The 15,824-nt window shown below is 44.1% G+C and overlaps 1 long non-coding RNA gene across 2 annotated transcripts in view; it reads right to left on the bottom strand.

Moving 5' to 3' along the window:
- Positions 1 to 15,824, bottom strand: part of LOC124901607 (uncharacterized) — a 95,727-nt gene extending 79,903 nt beyond the window's left edge. For both annotated transcript variants that reach the window (XR_007060273.1, XR_007060274.1), the window contains exon 1: positions 1 to 15,824. This exon is cut by the window's left edge. This is a non-coding gene — a long non-coding RNA (uncharacterized LOC124901607).

The following is a 15,824-nucleotide window of genomic DNA, read 5'->3' as shown; positions in this document are numbered from 1 at the left end:
GTACATAGTGATGTTGCAATACATATAAGGTATAGGTGATCAGATCAAAGTAATTAGCATATCCATCATCTCAAACATTTCTAATTTCTTTGTGTTGGGAACATTCATTATCCTCTTTCTAGCTATTTAAAATTATGTGATATATTATTGTTAACTTTGTCATCCTACAGTGCTATAGAACGCTAGCACTCATGCCTCCTATCTAGCTGTAATTTCATATTCTTTTTTTTTTTTTTTTGAGGCAGAGTTTCGCTCTTGTTGCCAGGCTGGAGTGTAATGGTGCGGTCTCAGCTCACTGCAACCTCTGCCTCCCAGGTTCAAGTGATTCTCCTACCTCAGCTTCCCAAGTAGCTGAGATTACAGGCACCTGCCACCACACCCAGCTAATTTTTGTATTTTTAGTAGAGATGGGGTTTCACCATGTTGGCCAGGCTGGTCTTGAACTCCTGACCTCAGGTGATCTGCCCACCTCAGCCTCCCAAAATGCTGGGATTACAGGCATGAGCCACCACACCAGGCCTTGTAATTTTGTATTGTTTAACAAATCTCGAGACTTTTTAAAAAATATGCTGTTTTTTGTCAAACCAAGTTATTAAACATTTTAATATTATAACATCAGTATTAAAAAATGGATCAAAGTTGTTTTTATTTTTGTTTTTAAAGAATGAAAGCAGGCATCTGAAATCTAAAGAGTGCTAACTTACTGAACCCCTACATAGGTGGTTTCATGAAGTCGCTTTGCTTTTTACCAAATGACCAGGAAAGAGGGAGGGAAGTAATCTTTGGAGCCAAACTTAAATGTGACTATTACATGCGGATGCCAAGGCACAGGTTAAAAGTCCATTTAACTTGAGGGCTAAATCTTTATAAATAGTATTTTTATATTGAAGCAAACATGAATATATTACAGAGAGGAAGTCAAATATTTCCATTCAGGGCATTAAGAAGAAATTTAAACTCAAAACAAGCCAGTTAGGTCGCCAGCTCCTGTGTCCAGGGATATGTTTTTACTCTTATTTGTACTTCTGGAAAGTTCAGGGAAAAACTTTCAAGAAGGAAATAGATAATCTTGGCCCCTCTCTCTACATCATGGCTTTTCAGCTTCAGTTCTGTATTAGTCAGTATGGTAACGACTATGGAAGGGAGAAAACATAATTTATTTCTTTGCATTTTTATGTTCTTAGTTGAGACACTCTCCTAAAAACAAAAGTCACAATAATAAAAGAAAAAGAAGCAGAAGTTTATTAACAAGTGCTGTACCTGTCATGTGGGAGAGGCCTCAAAAGTATTTCTCTCTCGAGGCAGTGGCTTAGAGGCTTTGCTTAAATAATGTTTTAACAAAGAGCCATAAATAGTACATAGTGTCAAGACAAAAGAGAGAGACATTCCCGTCTTTGAAAAGGCGGGAGAAAGTGGAAAATAGTAGAATCTATTTCCAGATTCCTCTGGTGCCTCCTGCTGCCTTCTCTGGGCCAATAAGCAAGTGTCCAGTAAGGAAGGATTTATGTCCTGCTGTCAAGCAAATAGAGGCTGAGGCAGAGTGTTCCCCTGCATTTTTAGTGTTTTTAACTTAGCAATCCTCAGTGTTTTGAGGAGAAATGTTTTGGTTTCCTTCAACTGTAACAAGCAAGCTCCAAATCTCAGTGGTTTCACATAACAAAGTTTTAATTTTTTCCTCTGTATCACAATGCAGTAAAGATGGGGATGTAGTATGGTATGAGAGACTGGTCCACACAGTCACTGAGGGATCCAGGTTCCTCCCATCTTGTGGCTCAGCTACCCTCTAGGACTTCAGAGTTCTCTCCTAGATCCTCTGCATCTAGCCAGCAGACAAATAAAGAGAGACTATGTATGATCTCACAGAAGATTTAAGAAGGCAGGCCTGGAAGTGGTGTGCAACACTTCCAGCCACATTTCACTGGCCAGGACTAATTGCATGGTCCCATCTAGATGCAAGGGGGTGGGGAAATGTTGTCTAGCTATGCCCACAGAAGGAGCAGAGCACCCAGATATTGGTGGGCCCTAGCAGTCTCTGTCTCAAATTCCCAATTGGCTCATTCTTTTCAATGTTTTGAGTTCATTCTCCCTCATATACTCCCAGATAGAGTATATGATTACCCACTCATTAATCTATACCAGGTTCCTGGCCAACCTGTAGTTGCTTCATCACAGGCTTCTGTTCTCAAAGCTGCCATGCCACATGTGACCAGGCAGAGGCTGAGTTTTCTGTAGCAGTAGGAAACACGTCTGCAACACACTGTCACCTGGGGGCGGGGAGGGGAAGACCAAGCAGCATTCTCTGGGCATCTCACCTCCACCTTCCATCATATAGTCATACCCCAGCATCATGGGTCATTTTATAAAAGCAACTTCCCCAGCTTCTGTTGTTCACCCTTCTTTCTTAGAAGAGCTCAGAAAACTGTCCATGGAACCAGAGAAGGGCACAGCCCCCCACATCCCTTCCAATGAGACCTAGAACTCCCCAACTCTAGGCATCACGTCTCCCTCTCAGTCAGAGCAAAAGATTCCAAAAAGAAAAGATTCCAAAAAAGAAATCAAATATCTGTGGGCCTGTGGGCCTCAGCAGGTCACCAAACAACCCAGGACCAGTCTGAGTTTCCTTGTTTAGGCTCAGCAATGGTCATCTCATAAATGATCTGTAATGTCCTTCATTACAGATGGAGAAAAAAATGCATGAGTGCATGAGGGTGGTTTATAACAGTGGCAGCATACAGAGCGACCTGGCAGCTTTGTGGCCACACAATGATGGCTACAGTATGAGGAAGAGAGAACAGGGCTGGCTTTGGCATAGGAACCAAGGGGAAACGGCAGATCCCAGGGGCGTTCTTTAGGAAACGGCAGCAAGCCTGCTGATAGATGAAATGCATCGGAGTCCTTGGCAAAGTGGTTTCTATTGAATCTGAAATTGTTTGGGCTCTTTTGAAAATACTGGTGTTAATCCAAGTCTGTTGTTGCCACTGCATTTTCATTTCCTCTTCTCTCTTATATTTCTTGTTGCTTACATTAGTCCTGAATGGTTTACCTGCCATTTTTTACATAAGCAAATATTTTTAACCTCAGTGAGGTCACATCCTAACATTATTAACAGACCTTTTGTTCATTTTGAGTAAGAGAGAAAACTCCATTTTTCACATAGATCTTCATTAGACTTGAATAGAAAAAAAATGATTTGGTTTTCTCCTTTAAGATGTATTAAGCATCATATAATGCTACCATTCATTGGGGGTTCAAGTGATTTTGATGGAGCAGTGAATGAAGGGAACATCCACCCCAAACTGCTCCTCTCTTTATCCTTTGCCTTTTATTATCCTCCTTCCACACTACTGCCCCCAAAGAAAGTCACCCCACAAGTCAGTGAAAATCTGCCGTGGAACCTTCCTGAAATGGCACAGAGTCTATTCTCTTGCTCCATGGCAAATCTGTCATCCAGCAGTTGGTCATTTTTCCTCACCTATATAATGAAGCTTAAGATTTATTACAAACTTGGTCCAAAGCCTAATTTCTGTTCATAAAACCCTGTCATTCTTGGATGAACTATGCTGTTTTAGGGCCAAGATTGTAATGAAACACTGGCTTGGCTGTTCCCAACGGTGGGATTTAGGAAATCTAAGAGATGCTGTCTTCAACAGTGAACAAAGAGGTTTAGATCACCTGGAATCACTGGCTCTGAGCTGTTGGTGGAGTTAGCCTCCTTTTGTCCACAATGCTCACATTTCCAAGCCTGGATCCTCACATCTATTGAACAACTCATCTTGAGATGGGTCCCATGCCCTTATTTCAGATCTTTTGAAATTAAGTGGAAAGGAAGTAATCATCTTCCTTCCTTATCCTGCTGCCTTGGAACAGTTTTTCACCTCACAGCAGCAAATCTGTGGCAGCCACTTACTTCATTCATCTCCAGATGGGTCCCTTTATCTATAAATGTGTTACTGTAACATTTTCTAGACCATAAATGGCTGAAGACATCAGACAGAGCTGGCATAGAATGTAATAAAGAGTAGGGATTTTGCTTTATTCAACTTTATATGTTCTGTAGGCCTCAGTACCTAGTGGGTACTAAATAGCAGGTGGATGAAATAATGTAATAATGAATTTGCTACTGATTTTTCACCTGGAAAGACATTAAGGCACTTTACACAGTCTCCACCATCTTTTAGGGTTTTGAAGTTTGTGCTTGTATTTCAAAAAAGAAATCATAAATAAAAGAAACAACTTGGACCTTAGACAAAGCCAGAAAAACTCAGCTCTGAAATAAGTCGTGGCAACAACCCAGCCATTGATTTCTTTACCTGGAAATTTACAGGAATAATGAGTTGCTGCCTCCATAATGATTGCAAATTGCTGCTTCTCAGTCACTTAGCTTAGACAAGCTAATATTTTCTCTAACCCCAAACCAAGATGGTCAGAGCCACAGAACAATATATTGTAAGAAGAGAGGTGTGCCACACAACATTCCTTAAAGCGTGTTCCACCTAGCAGCATCACTGGGACCTATCAGGGTCAGAGTGTTCAGTGGCCAAGTGAATTTAGTTCACATCGCATATTATAAATACCCCCATCTTGGACATGTATGATGATGCACTGTTGCATATTACAGACTCTGAGAAGTTGACCTGCTAAAGAGATTTGATCACAGAATCCTATTTTCAAATAATGTCTATTACCTTTGGACAGAAGCTACTTTAAGAAAACACTGCTCTGCCCTGAAGGTCATCAATACCATTTTCATAAAGGTGAAGCAGGGATTTGCAACCTGCAATGTGTTTGTGCCAGAAATGGCATGCAGGCCCCTGGCTACCAATACATATTCCCTTCTCATGAAAGGTGACCCTGACCATCTGCCGTAGGAGTGTAGGCCAGAAGGACCACAAAGTAGGAAGCTTGACAAAGGCTGGCAACCCTGAGGTACAGCCAATAAGCCCCGGCTCAGGTTGAGTGTGCACTCATTCCTAGAGTTACAGCAACGTTCTGTTGGTCAGGCTGGACCCTTGGCCAGCCACAGGAATGGGCCACAGCCCTGGAAGCACATCTGACACTTACATCAGGGGCAGATCAGAGACTGGTGCATTTCCTGTAAATATTGGATTTGGGAAAATATTTGTGTTATTTGCTGTTACTTTGAAATAAGTCTACAACCTGTTAGACTAGATGGGGAAATATACATAGTTTTCACTATAAATTTCAAATAGTCTTACGGAGTCCTGATAAGATAAGTAAGCAACAATGAGGAAGGAGCCCCAGGTTGGGGAGAACAATGACCAATTTTTCTGAGAGATGGCTAGTCACAAACAACTGGTGGGCACAATGACATTGTTCCACATGTAGCCCCCTTCAGCATGACCCTATAAAACTTCCCTCCAGCCCCTGCCTATTTGCAGACAGTCACTTCTCTGTTGTGCTGCTCATTGCAACCTTGCAACGTATTTTCATAGCTTCTCTAATAAATCTGCCTTTCTTTATCTACAACTGTCTTGGTAAATTCCTTTATGGCCCATGACACCAGCCCCAGCTATTCGCACCTACAATATTTCTTTGGCTCTTACAGGGACCTCTCTCCCCTTTCCCTTTCTCTCTTCCAACTGGGGACCCTTCGTGGACAGCACACAAAAACAGAAACAACTGACAGTCTCTGGCAGGGCTATACCCTGATGAAGCTAGAAGGTGTCCATGTGGAAGCATCTTACCACCATCACCTGATCAGATGAGGGACCTTAGTTCAGTTTCTCCTTTTCAGTCTTCCAGCAGCCAACGTCTAGTATCCCTTTGTCAACTTACAGTAACTGGTCAGGGCTGCTCTCTGGTGTTGCCTGAAGTCCAGGGGGTAAACAGGGTTGGCTGTCTTTCCCAGAAGGGAATAAGGCTCTCTCTTATCCTTTCTAGTCAAAAGCCCCCAATCCTTACTTATAGCATGATTGGTGGTGAAAGCTCAACCAAGACAAACCTGCACATGTTCTGGGGAACTCGGACCACCTCTTTCTCACTCTAAATTCTCCCATGAAGACAGCCAGACTTCCTGCTCCAGGTGTTCCCAAATCAGGTGATCTCAAGTGGCCACAGAGCAGTGAGTCTCCCCATTCCTCTCCCCTCTTCTAGGTTGCTTTCCAGCTGAGTTCTCCCTTCACCCTCATTCCTCATGCCTGGACTGGCCATACAGCGTAAGGCCCTACGCCAGGAGATCCTTCCTAATAGGTGGGACACCCCTCTAGGAATGCATCTGAGAAGTCCCCCAGTGGACTTGAGTGGAACCCCTTTCTTCAGTGGGATGCCTGCCCCAAGAGAAAGTGCGACTTGTGTCCCACTCTAGTAGACATCATCCTCAGTTGCTTGTCGTTTTCTAGTCTCACCATGGGACAAACCCCATCTTTTCATTCAGAGCCACCTCTGGGTTACATTCTAAAACATTAGGATAAATTTAATCCTCAGATTCTCAAAAAGGAGCATCTAGTTTTCTTGTGTAACACAGCATGGCCCCATTGCAGGAAGTCCTCAAATTAGCCTCCTCAGTTTTTTATAACTGAGAGCAGAATAGGGAGGACAGGGCTAAGAAGAAAGAAAAACAAAGGGACAAGAGGCAGGCTCAGCTGCTGGCTGCTTTACAAGCCCCCAGCCCCTTCCAGGTTGCCCTAAGAACATCCCTCCAGGTAACTGCCACCAGTGCAGAAGGCCAGGCCACTGGAAAGCAAACTGACCCAAAGGAATAAACGGAAAAAGCCCTCTGTGTCTTGCCCCCTCTGTCACAAGCTTGGCCACTGGAAACAAGACTGCCCTGAGAGCTGAAGTGTCCCTGGGACAGAATTCCAACCTCTGATGGCCCTGAGAGAAAGGGGCTCTCTGCTCCAGCTGGCTTCCAAATCAAACATTATCATCAACAAGACAAAGCCAAGGACAACCCTAGAGATGGAAAGTAAAATGATAAATTTCCCTTTTGGGTTCAAGAGCTGCCTACTCTGTACTAATCTCCTTCTCTGAGCAACTCTCCTCCAAATCCTGTTGGGTAATTGGAGCAAATGACACCCCCTCCCTCCAAAAGAAAAGATTCACATTTCTTTATGTTACTGAAGGGTCCAATTACCATTCTCCCAAGTCCCCAGTAATGTCTAAATACTTCATACCCCTTTGGGACGGAAATATACTTTCCAAGATGGGTGCCTGCTTTAATATTTGCCCAACCTCTGCATTCATCTTTCCCTCTAATAGTCCTATTTCTCCCAGGAAAGCTACCTAAATCTTTAACCAATAACTTCAACCTAAATAGTCCTACCTAACTCAGGGTTTTAAAAATAGCTCACACTTATTCAGACAAGTCCTAGCAAGAATCTAACCCAACAATTTCTTGAGGGGGGATAACCTACAGTATGTAGATCACCTCCTCATTTGCTCCCCCTTCATGGACAATATGTATTAACACAGCAATATGCAGTACAAACCTTAACTTCCTAACAAAATAAAATAATTTTTGTCTAATTCAAAGGTTATTTAAAGGTTTTATATTAAACAAGATCAAAGGAATCAGGAAATAAGAGAGACATAAAAAAGTTATAAAAGTAAAGAGGTATTTTTTGGTAAGGAAGGTTGTAGAAAAGAGGATTTATATAAGAAAGGATCTTGTATGGTAAATTCTTGGCCTAAAGTAAAATGACTGGTTGTTTTAAAAAGAGGGATGTTTAGGACAAGACAGAAAGTCCAAGTGTGTCATAGATGGTCTGCATAAGTCATGAGAAAATCTATGAATGGAAATTTATAAAAGGAATATTGTATGTAATTAAGGTATAGTAGTCTCTCTAAAATTGGTTCCCTATGCTGTGTCTAATTAAATTTAAACACTTTTTCATTGAGTTCAACTTCCAGGTTATCTAAATGGGCTTCCAATAAGGACAAACAGTCACACTGCAAAAGGTTTTTCTTTGCCTTTTTGGTAACTGGCTTAAGAAACAAAATTTCCCCTACTGGAATTGAGCAGTTTCACCTTCAAATGATGCTGTGAATGGAATATCTGTCTCACCCCAGGGATGCCTGCTACCTTTATGAATCTCCCCTGGATTCTGCAAGACACCAGTTTCACCTTGACATGTTCCCCCTTTGTGATGAGTCCCTTCCTCCAGCAAGATGCAATATCCTAAGTACCACAATCCGGGACAATGACCTACAGGGTCTCCTATCAGACCAACAACCATAGGTAGGGTCAATTCTACACCCCAGGCCAGCAGGAAGTAGTTGGAAGACGAGTTCTCTGCCCCAATGCCAAAGATTTGTCATTGTTTTCTCTTGGGGTGGAATGTAGGGTCCTGAAAGGTAAGCAACAATGAGGAAGGGGCCCCAGGTGGGGAGAACCATGAATAATTTTTCTGAGAGATGGCTAATTACAAACAACCCAAAGGCACAATGACCTTATTCCACATGTAGCCCCAGCAGCACAACCTTCTTCCACTTGTAGCCCCCTTCAGCACGACCCTGTAAACTCTCCTCCGGCCCCTGCCTCTTCGCAAGTAGCCCCTTCTCTGCTGTGCTGCCTATTGCAACCTTGCAACATACTTTCATATCTTCTCTAATAATTCTGCCTTTCTATACCTACAACTGTCTTGGTAAATTCCTTTATTGCCCATGACACCAGCCCCAGCTAGTCACACTGATGACAAGTCTCAGGGGTTATGCAGGCTTCTAGGGCAAAAACATGTGCCAGACACTGTTGTGTGAAACAGGGTCCCCAGTCCTGATTGCAGGAAGCTATTTTATCCTATTCAGTAGCAGCATGAGGTTCTCCTGGCATGGTCATATGCTTCATGATGTATTTTCTGATGTGTTTTTCTCCTCTGTCTTTCCACCATGTGTCCTTTCCGCATCAGTCAACTTGGCACAGTATCCTTGCCTCTGGGATAAGGAGGCACAGCGGAAAGTTGAGAAAACATTTAAAGAGTCAGTTCTTGGCTTTTAATTTCCAAAAGCCTAAGCCTTGGGAGCAATAGGAAAAACACAGGGCATGTGCATTAGATTTGCAAGAGTATCTGATGGGAGGACATAAAGTTTACCTCATCCCCCCTGCCCCCTGCCTCACCCAGACTAAAGTTCTCCCAGTTAGGTAAAGGACAGCAGAGAAGCAGCAGTGGTTGACACTGGTGGGTTGTGGAGAGGTACACCATGCCTGCTCCAGACTGAGACTCAGAGAGGGGCAGGCAGGAAGCCACAGTCTGAGAGAGCAGAGTGAGTGGGAGATCTGTGGAAGTGGCAAGATGGCAGAGCTGGGCTGCGGAACTTACCAAGTTTTCCATGACAGCAGTTGGCTCACATGTGCCCAAGGGTGGCACTAAACTAGCACAAAGAGCAGGGACAGAAGGGGTCACTCACCAGTGAATCAACAACCAAAACAGCAAATGACTACAATCCACAACCCAAGTCCCAAGCAGGGCCTCTGAGAGGTGCTCGACCACCACTGTATGATACACAGCATAGCTGGGCCCAGATCTCCTTCCAGACCTCTGGCCCTCGAAATTGGGACAGGTTTCCCTGCCTCCTGCTGCCCCCACCCAGCCCTGGTCCTAGGTCTCACATGCTGGTGCTACATGAGTCCTCTGGAACTCAGACAATCTCAAAAGGAGGAAGAGATGGGAGTTATGATGGAAATTAACTTCTGCTGAAGAAAAACGATATTTTATTTCATGCACACGTGTGTTTGTGGAATGAGATTTATACTTAATATGATTGACTAGCAAATAATTTAATCCTAAAGGTATGGTTTATTCCAATGAATGGTGACAGAAAAAAGGGTCTAGCTTCACAGAGCTCATGGATAGACACACATGCACACAACACATATAAATATACACACTGGTACACACATAACCCCTACACACCTGTACAAACACATGCACTAGAGACAGAGACACAAAGACATGTACAGCATCTCACACTCATAGACACATACACCACACATACATACACACGCACACCATACACACACACACCACAGTGACATACCACACACATATATACCATATATATGTGTATATATATATATACACACATATATATACACAAATATGTTTACTACTTTACACCTACTTAGCTTGTCTACACCACCCATAGCCTGATGGTTTCCTCACTACTCGAAGTGCTGTGGGCTTAATTACCATCTACTATGGGTGCTGAATTCGTGTCACATGTCTTTGATTATCCAAATCTGATCTCAACTCCACTGGAGCAGAGGCATTGCAGTCTCTACAGAGACTTGTCTTGTTATTTCTCCCATATCCTTGTTCTCAATCCTTCGATGACTTTCAGCTTGACCCATGAACATAGGCATAGCTGAGACCCCTTTCGGGCCACGTCAGCACCCTAGGGATGATAAGGTGATGATATGGAAGGAACCTGAACCTCTGACTACTTCACAGTGCCAGCATGGACTTTCATATGAAAAAGAGCTAAACTTTCCCATCTAAGCTACTGCTATTTGGGGTCTCTGTTGAAGCTGCTAATAATATATCCCAATTAATACAGTACTTGAATTTTAATGTTTTTTGTGAATCAGAGAGAAAGCCTTGGTCCCACATAAGATGAAGAATGAGAATTGAAACCCCCTTATGAAACTGTCACTCCGCAGAGCTATATACTTAACAAAACAGTTAGCTAGGGTAAAATCCATTCATCAGCAAACTGAGACAACAAGGAAACTTGTCTGTTTTTGTCCTACTTTGCATGGGGAAAATGTATTCCATGATCGTTCCTAACCACACGCCCGCTTCCATTTTAGGACTTGAAATTTACATTGCTTGCACGATATGGTAAAAGAAAAGAACATAAAACTTGGTTCTAAGCCTGTAATACCCCTGAGACATTAGGCAGAATCAAAAGCAGAACCACCCTGGAGGGCCACATCTTCAACCCAGACCATGTAGATAAAGCCTGACTAAAGTGAGATTACAAACCATATAAGAAAACAACCCACCAAGAACAAGAGTCAGCATATGGAGCAAAACATACAGGAAAGGGCTCTCTGGTCTTCAGCCAACACCAGTCTCTGATGTTACACTTTTTCCCAAGCCCATGGCTCTCATGCCAATCTCAGGGACAGGGCTCTTTGTCAAACTGGGACCCTGGTGTCTGGGCTTTAGTCTCTAAGTGCACCAGACACATGCCCCTGTGAAGTCCTGCTGTCAAACCCAGGAACTCAAATGGAGCATGGCATATCCCTTCTTGGGACTACATTCTGCAGGCCCTTTTCCTGTCTTGGGAGAAAATGTCACACACACACACACACACACACACACACACACACACACACACACACGTGCACACACACACATCTCATTTGGGTGATTTAACTCTTACAGGACTCAAAGTCCTTTTTGCCACTCCTACTCTAATTCTTCTGCAGTGGATACAAAACAAAAAGTGATATCAAAAATTATCTTGTAACCAAAGAAGGTATTTTCAGATGCTTTAGAAAGGGTATAATCTCCTAGAATTATTAGCTTAGACAGAGAAGCGACTTCCAAAGTGGAGCCTTTCATTCCCTCTGCTCGATGTGGCCCTCTCCTTCCTTTTCATCCCAGCTCCTGCTGATCCTTCAGGATTCAGCTGAAGTGTCACCTCTTCCAAGATTTCCCAGACCCTGGGGTCGTGCTTAGACAACACTCAATAACAAGAATAAGAAGAATAATAAGAACAATAACCGGTATTTATGCAGCACTTACATTGTTGTGAGCTCTTTGTATATGGTACCTCATTTCAACCTCACAACAATTTTCTAAGATTGGTGAAATTACCATCTTCTTTTTATAGATGAGGAAACTGAGGCATACAATTAAATACATTGTCCAAAGTCAAACAGGAAGCATCATCATTGGGATCCAAACCTATATGGTTGGCCTGCAGAGGACTTCTGTCTGAGTTTGTGTTCTCCAAAAGTAGACCCTTGAGATTAGGGTTTGGGTGCAAATGCTCTATTTGGGAGGTGATCCCAGGATACCCAGGTGAGGAATAGGGGAGTGAGACAGAGAAAGGAGGAAAGCCAGCAAAAGGGTCCATCTATGGACAATTCAGCCCAACCTGCCAGGGACCTTCTGAAGGGTTAAGAAAAGAACACCTCTGAACTATTCCACCCGGAAGTAGGGGAGCTGGGGTGCTGAAACTCTAAATGCAATCCTTCATGGGTTAAAGATTTGTCCCTGAGTCCTAACCACTCAGCACTTCCAACCTGTCCTGTGGCTGGGTTGAGCACACACCTACACAGGACCTTGAGCTAGAAAGCCGACAATATTCATGAAAACTGTCTTCTGATGCCACAGGGGACGTCCAGGGTGGAGCTGACACAGATGAGCCAGGCCAGCAGCATGAGCTGCACCAGCCCCTCCCACATTACACTGTCCCGCCCCCTTGTCTTTCCTCTATTATAATGGCATTTATCAGATCATTGTGAAGTTGGTGGCCCAGGTGTCTGCTGTATTAATCAGAATTCTTGCTTGTAAGTCGAGAAAGCCTCAACTTCCATTAACTTAAACAAAAAAGTGACCTTGTTGGTTCCTGTAACTACAAAGTCAGACACCCAACCATCTAGGAGGAGTTACAGCTAGACCCAGGAACTCAAGCATCTGTCTACCCACCTTTTAGATCTCCTTTCCTCTGTGTTGGCTCTAATTTCAGGCAAGCTTTTTCCATGAGGCGGCAAAGGCAGCTCCTGACATCTCCAGGCTCACCCTGTTCTTATTTGCTGTTTCAGATGGCGGGTGCCTTCCTCATTAGCTCCACCAAAAGTCCTGGGGAAGGATTTAAATGGCTGAACTCAGGTCATGTGTCAATTTCTGAACCAATCACAATGGTCAAAAGGATTGTGATACTCTGATTAGCCAGGGCTGGTCACACCCTCCTCCTTGGAGCTAGCAGAGGTGACATTAGTGCCAATGAAACCACACTGACTGCAAGCAGGGCTATGCCGTAAAGAGATGATGGGCAGAAGCAAGCCTGCATCCATGATGCTTCTCCTCAGGGCCAGGCTGTTGTTTCCTCCATTGTACAGATGGCATCTGACTTCACTGAGTAGTCCCAGCTCCTCACCAGCACATGCACATGAAACATGCTTCCTCGACACTTGTTGAATGAATGAATGAGGCTCAGGAGCATTCTGAAGGGGAAATATCCACAGGTGTCTGAAAGGCTTTGTGAAGTTGTTATCATCCTGAGGTTAGGATTATTCCAGTGCTTGTCTTACTTGGCATAGGTGTCCTTCAAATGCAGGCCCACTCTACCTCCAGCCTGGTCTTCAGCCAGCCCTCCCACAGGCCCACGCTCCTCCCTCTCCCTGGAGCTCTTTCCTTGCCCTCTTTGCCAGCCTTGACCTCCTGGGCTCAGATGATCCTCCCACCTCAGCCTCCCAGGTAGATGGGATTACAGGTGCGTGCCATCATGCCCAGCTAACTTTTTTTTTTTTTTTTTTGGTAGAGATTAGTTTTCGCCATGTTGCCCAGGTTGATCTCAAACTCCTAGGCTCAAGTGATCCTCCCAAAGTACTGGGATTACAGGCTCAAGACACTGCGCCCAACTTCAGGGACACTTTCTATCTGTTCTCAGTTAGGACAAATCCCCCTGCTGTGGGCCCTCTGGGCACCTCATCCTTCCCCCTCTTCAAACTCATTATCTTATTATAATGACTTGTTTCATTATCTCTCTTCCCTGCCACACGTGGTAAGCTCATTGCGGTAGGGAACTCTGGGATGTTTTCTGACACCAGCAAATTTTCCAAGACCAGTAGGGTGTCCTACAATTCAATTCTGACACCAGAGTTAGTAACCCAGAGTTTGTGCAAACCCCACAAGTCAAGAGCTCAGTCTCACAAAACTATCCCTATTTCAGATGCCAGTCACGGGGCCCAGGCCACCCATATTTCTGACTGACCAGCTGTAAATCAGGGGTTCCCACAGCCCCTTCCCCCTGTTTCATATTGTTAAAGTGGCTCACAGGACTCAGAAAAATACTTTACTTACATTTGCTGGTGTCTGGGCCAAGGGAAAACTTACCCTTCGCCCTCTGAAGGTTCGCTGAAAATCACTGACAAGGTAGAAGAATAGGAGAAAAGGCATACAGATTTATTTGATCATCATTTTATGTGACCCTGGAGTCTTCAGGATGAAGACCCAAAGATACAGGGAAAATGGTCCATTTTTATGCTTAGGTTCAACAAAGTATGGAGAGTTATGTAAAAAAATATGATTGGACAAAAAGGGAGATCTGATGCTAATAGATTGAGTGAGGAAACCCAGCAAGGCCTATCTATCTAGATTCTCTTTGCCTCTCTGAGCAGCGTTCCTTCCTTCTGGGTGTGGGACAGGACCCTCTCTGGAATGGGAGTCTGATGACCTACAGTCAAACAAAGTAGGTCAGATCATTTCTTTATGGCCAGTTTTTACACAGAAGGGGAGGGAGAGTTAGAGTCATATTGTATTATGGCTGGCTTTGGGGAAATGGGGTTCTGGTTTCTATGACCCACCTTGTGGAAGAGGAATTTTAGTTTCTGGTATGGCTTGCCTCTGGGGAGAGTGTGACTGAGAGACAGGAGGGCAGAAGGTCAGAGAAAAACTTTTGCTTCTGAGGTGGCTTTGGAGGCCTTCGTTTTGGGGAATTGTTTTCTGAGTCCCAACACTGGTTAATTATAAAGGATACAAATGAACAGCCAGATGAAGAGGTGCACAGTGCAAGGTCCAAAAGAGTCCCATGCACAAGGGCGTCTGTCTCATGGAGCTGGGGAGTGCCACCCTCTCGGCACATGGCTGCATTCACCAACATGGAAGCTCTCCAAATCTCATTGTTCAAGAGTTTTTATAGAGCTCAATCTCCAGCTCCCACTTCCTCCCATCCCGGGAGGTGGGCAGGTGGGCTGAGAGTTCCAACCCTCTAATCACTCAGTCTTTCTGGTGACAAGCCACAAATACTCCTTCCTGGAAATCCCAAGGGTTTCAAGAGTGCTGTGCCAGGAACCATGGACAAAGACCAAATCTATTTAATGTAGCACAAGAAAACATTGACCACATTCACAGTTGTGCTCCTATGCCTAGCACAGTGCCTGGCACACAATAGGTGTGCAGTCTATATTTGCTAAATGAATGAATGAGCCAAAAAATGAACGCATTATTTCGTTGAAGTGTGGAAGAAATTCCCCCAGGCCCAGGGTGGCAGAGCTGAGTGCTTGCCTTGGAACCCACTTGAGTAATGAAAAACACCCGGTGCCAGTTTTCCAGGAGTGCCTTGGGTGGATCTGGAAGAGTGTCTGTCTTCACAAGAGAAATGGCTTTCTTTGTCAGCTCCCTGAATGACTGCCATAATGGCACCCCAGGGGAAGCAGCTGTCTTCAGGATAAATGGAACAAAGGCTGCCTTCTTTACAGACCAGCCCAGCAGCCCTCCCTCCTCCTCCTGGGAAAGGCAACCTCAGGTGGGGCTTCAAGGAACTCTGTGCTGGTGTCAAAGGAAGCCCCCTGAGAAGCAGCCTCCTACTAAATGAGTCACTGGAAAAAGAAACCTAAACCCACTGGAAAGCAAAGTTAAATGGGATTGTGCAGTCCCAAAATGGAACAGAACTTCTTCCCCCACTCCCTTTCTTTTCCTGAGGAATAGGTTCCCAGAAATATTGAATAATATGGTCTGGCTCTGTGTTCCCACCCAAATTGTATCTTCTATTATAATCTGAATTGTAATTTTTATGTTTTGGGGGAGGGACCTCGTGGGAGGTGACTAGATCATCGGGGTAATTCCCCCATGCTGTTCTTATGATAGTGACTGAGTTCTCATGAGATCTGATGGTTTTATAAGGGGCTTTTC

Source organism: Homo sapiens, chromosome 7 (genome assembly GCF_000001405.40).
Source record: "Homo sapiens chromosome 7, GRCh38.p14 Primary Assembly".
In the NCBI taxonomy this organism is placed as follows: domain Eukaryota; kingdom Metazoa; phylum Chordata; class Mammalia; order Primates; family Hominidae; genus Homo; species Homo sapiens.
Note: the sequence above shows the minus strand (reverse complement) of the source record. Positions and strands in the feature narration are given on the sequence as shown.